The following is a 4,705-nucleotide window of genomic DNA, read 5'->3' as shown; positions in this document are numbered from 1 at the left end:
GCATGATTTTTCTCTTTGCCACTCCTACATTCTCGGTGACGACAACAACTATAGCCTTATCCAGATATTTCGAAGTGCAACAAATTGTATTCAATATAGAGTAAGGATAAGGAAGAACTCTCTCATTAACTGGTCTCGCGGTGATTACAGTAATAGCTAACATCTATTGAGTACTTACTATGTACTAATCTAAGTATTTTTTACTCTCAACAATCCCATATAGTAGGTTTTATTATCCTCGTTTGAGATGAGTGTGCTGAGGAATAAAATGGTTAAGTAACTTGTCCAAGGTCGCTTAGCTAGCAAGCCTGGCTCCAGCGTCCCTGGGTTGGAAGCATATTCTGTACTGCTACATCAGCATGAAAGTTTATTTTTGCTAGTGTGTAACAGTATTCTTCCTGTCATTAAAATTAAGTCAGTTTCCTTCACTATTCAACAGTTCTCTTATGAACTCAACATTTCTACCTCATTCACCATTGTATTTAGAGGAAAATTTATTATTATTGTTATTACTTTTATTTTTGAGACAAGAACTTGATCCGTCACTCAGGTTGGAGTGCAGTGGTGTGATCACAGCTCACTGCAGCCTAGAACTCTTGGGCTCAAGTGATCCTCCTGCTTCTGCCTCCCAAAGTGCCAGGATTACAGGAGTAAGCCAAAGCGTCCAGCCAGGAAAAATTATTTGAGGATTACAGGAAAGCTGACAAAAGGCTTTGTGAAAGCTTTGCTTTAAATAATCTGAATAATAAATACTTGAAATGGAAATAATTTATCTGACTTCTTACACAAGAAATAAACCTATGGGAAAATGTGTTAAATTCCCTGATAATTTCAGACATTAAGTACCAGAGTATGGTGTTCCCTGCCCCCTCACCCTTGTTCGTACTAATTAATTACTCCTTGAAAAAACCTGGCACCTACCTAAGTAGATGAATTATGTGTATTTAAAATTATCCAGATGCTCAGGAAAATACTTAGGTGTTTCCCTCACCATAAGTTAAATAATATGTCATATCTTCAACTGATGTCCCTTATCATAGTTTGAAATAAACTGATTCCCTATTTAGCAGAATGGTTTCCAAGTCAAAAATTTATGATGATACTGTAAGCATAAAATAGAAACACATGAACAAAAGGAATGGGAGGAATGGCTTTTTTCCCTTTGGATGTAATAAATACAGCCAGCTCCCAGTTTCAAACTGCCACTCCTGTCTTCTCTTACCCTGCTCTCCTTGAGATCCCTTTTGAGAAGTGCATCAGCTTCTTTGCACAACAGATAGATGGGGTCAGGTTAGTTTTTTGGGTTTTTTGTTTGTTTGTTTGTTTTTGAGATGGAGTCTCGCTTCTTTGCCCAGGCTGGAGTGCAATGATGTGATCTTGGCTCACTGCAACCTCCATCTCCTGGGTTCAAGCAATTCTCCTGCCTCAGCCTCCCTAGCAGCTGGGATTACAGGCACATGCCACCACGCACGGCTAAATCTCTTTGTATTTTTAGTAGAGACGGGGTTTCACCACTTTGGCCAGGTTGGCCTCGAACTCCTGACCTCCGGTGATCTGCCCCCTCAGCCTCCCAAAGTGCTGGGATTACAGGCGTGAGCCACTGCGCCCGGCCGAGTTTGTTTTGTTATTAAACTGGTATAAAAGATTTTTGAAAAATTAAGTCAGTGATTAAAAATCAAGACTACAGTAATCTCTCAATTTATTTTCTCAAACATGAAATGCTGACCCAGAAAAAAGGTAAGTAAAAATTGGTGGTCTATATTATCAAACTGTCAAATGAGGTATATTTATACCTCAATATCTTGGATGATATCAGGGGGAGGTAGGGAGGTTAAAAAAAAATAGTTCTTCCAGTCATGAAAGAAAATAAAGTATAATCTAGAATTCCTTAAAATCCTTGATTAGTCTGAATTAAACAGCCATATTCCAGAATATTAAATATAGAATATGAAGAAAAACTGTCATCTCCAGTCAATGAAGTATTTTAACTTTTGAGTTAATACTTTTTCAAATTAATTTTTTTCTCTTCAAAATGCATCACACTACTTAACTCACTTCAAGGACTGGCACAGCCATCAACCAATGTCATGGGGAAAAAAGCCTTGTCATTTTAAGGTATTAAACAGACAATGAAATCTGCCACAATTTTGGTATTTCTTCTCCATAAGAACATAATAAATTAATGGAGTTTTTTCTTTTGCTTTTTTCTAAGCAACAAAGTTTTATGATATCATGAATGAAAAGGTCCTTAATTACCTTTTGGTCTACATGTCAAGGACTTCTCCCTCATAAAACCGGTAGTAATCACAACAAAAGGAATTAACCATAAAAAGAGGTATTAAAAATGTATATTGATTTTTAAATGCAAGCATATTATTTCTTTACATTAAAATTTTTAGATTTAAAAAGTGTTTCTGGAAGCTCAATCTAGAAAAGAAAGATTTAATTCTTTACACCCAGTAGGGCAAAACAAATCAGACAGAAATGATATATGAATGTAAATGCAATTTTATTTACCACTTTGATGCTCCAAATGGCACTGCCAGGAAGCTGCCTGGGTTTAAAAATTTCCCGACCTCCTGAAATGTCTGGGGACCAGGAAGGTGGGCTCACTGTATTATGGGTACTCCAAGCCTCCTAGGATATGGCAGTTGAGAAAATAGATGTGTAAAACTCAGCAACATAAAAGGTCAAAGCCAGCAACTAAGGAATTTTAGAACAGCAAAAACAAATGCAAACATATGGAAATTTAGGACAAATTGCTTCAAGGAAGGCAAAATAAGCTAATCACTAACAGTGATTTAAACATTTAAGTATAACAAATAACTTAAATGTTTGCTGCTACAGAGACATCACTACAATGAAACATTAAAAATTAAGGTTTATATGACATCAACATTGACTCATGAACTGCAATTACTGCACCAAAAAGTAAATAAAAGTCAATCACACTTTAAGAATTAACACTAGAAGAAAGTATTGGGGGGTTATTTTTCTTCTAACAACTATCACTCTACTTAAAAGGAGAAATGGATAACCATAAGGAATTCTATATTCTATAGCTATAAACAACCAAAACCAGTAGGCCAAAGAATGCAATGAGAAACATAAGCAATAGATAAATGCATAAACTTTACACTGTAGAGAGCTGGTAACATTAAAATGCAAATACCATTATAATCTTAGCATTTAATCACTCTTTCTTCAGTGACCATTAGTTGCCGGTTTGGTTTCGGTTTTTACTCAGGGAAATGAATACTTTATGGAAATTACATCCAATGGACAAAAGTGAAGAAACGTTAAAGCAAATTGTCCTAAATTTGCAAATTAAAATGCCTAAAGTACCTGATAAATTATATAGAAAGTAGTATCTTATTAAAATCTATATAACTAAAACTAAAGCATTTTACTTCCAAACAACCACATTCAGCAATACCCTGAACTAATCTGAAGATGCTAAACAGCATAAAGAAAAATGTTTACTCCACAAAGGTAACATTTTAAAGAAAAACAAGACAAATGTCAAACAATAAAAGGATATATTTTGAATTAGGTAATTCAATGGTGCATGCATAATTTTACCAATCAAGTAACCAAAACTTAAGACAAGGTACATAGTACTTACCAGGTTTCTAGAATATCATCAAATTAACAAGTACTATCTCATTAATCACATAAAAATACCACCAGGAATTAAAATAACCAGAAATAAGAATGTGACTACTCTTGGGGTAAGAGATAGGTAACGGAATAACGGTATTTTGGAAAAGCCACACAAGCAATAGACTGGTTTCATTTTTAAGTCACAAACTCAACCCACACACATTGAAGTCCAGCAATCCAACTCATTCTCTCCAGCAAACACTTTATTTTTTTCCCCCTCCAGGATTACCCTCAGGTGTTCTTTCTTACCCATCAAATCTCTAACCTAGCTCAGGTAATCACTATGCTGATTTCACTGAGCAGCAACCACTGCAGGTCAATTACCTCACTTTCATAATTTCAAATCAACTTGAATCTGTACCTATGTCTTCTTCCCTACTATTAGTAGGGAAGTGTTGTCAAAAGCCGTTTCTCTTTTCTCATTTTACTCATGCTCCTAACATCTGGCATACTGTTCTGCTGGATTTGGCAGCAGCCCACCTGTGGATAATTCACTGACTTCCTCGCTAATCTTTCTTCATCTCCTGTACGTGTTCTTCCTCTATTTGACTTCCAAAGCCCTGGAGTTTCCCAGGGCTTGAGCCTAGATCCTAAATGGTGTTATCTACAATGAGGGCATCTTGCAAGTTGATGCTTCCCACATTCTTATTTCTAGTTTTAATCAAAGATCTCCAAATTAGCAGGATTTTCAACTTCCTCCTTAGCATTTCCATTTTCTCACATAAAACCCCTCTTAATTTTGCCATGGTTAAAATTTCTCCCTTAACCGGTTTCATCCCAGTCTTCCCCATCCTTATAAATGGCATCCAGTCCCTTGTCACTCTCCTCTGCTCCTTCAGTCCTCTCCCCCAACACCTCGTCAATGCAAATCATCAGCAAATTCAAGACTTTTTATCTTCAAGTTTTGTCTCCGATCCTTCTGCTTCTTGTCACTTCCACCACTAGCAGCCCACTCGTGGCCACCACCATCTCTCACCTAACCTGCTACAAGAGTCTACTGCTGGTTATGCTTCTCCCACCCTGCATCTACTCAAGCCTTTCC

This window comes from Homo sapiens, chromosome 1 (genome assembly GCF_000001405.40).
Source record: "Homo sapiens chromosome 1, GRCh38.p14 Primary Assembly".
Lineage (NCBI taxonomy): Eukaryota > Metazoa > Chordata > Mammalia > Primates > Hominidae > Homo > Homo sapiens.
Note: the sequence above shows the minus strand (reverse complement) of the source record.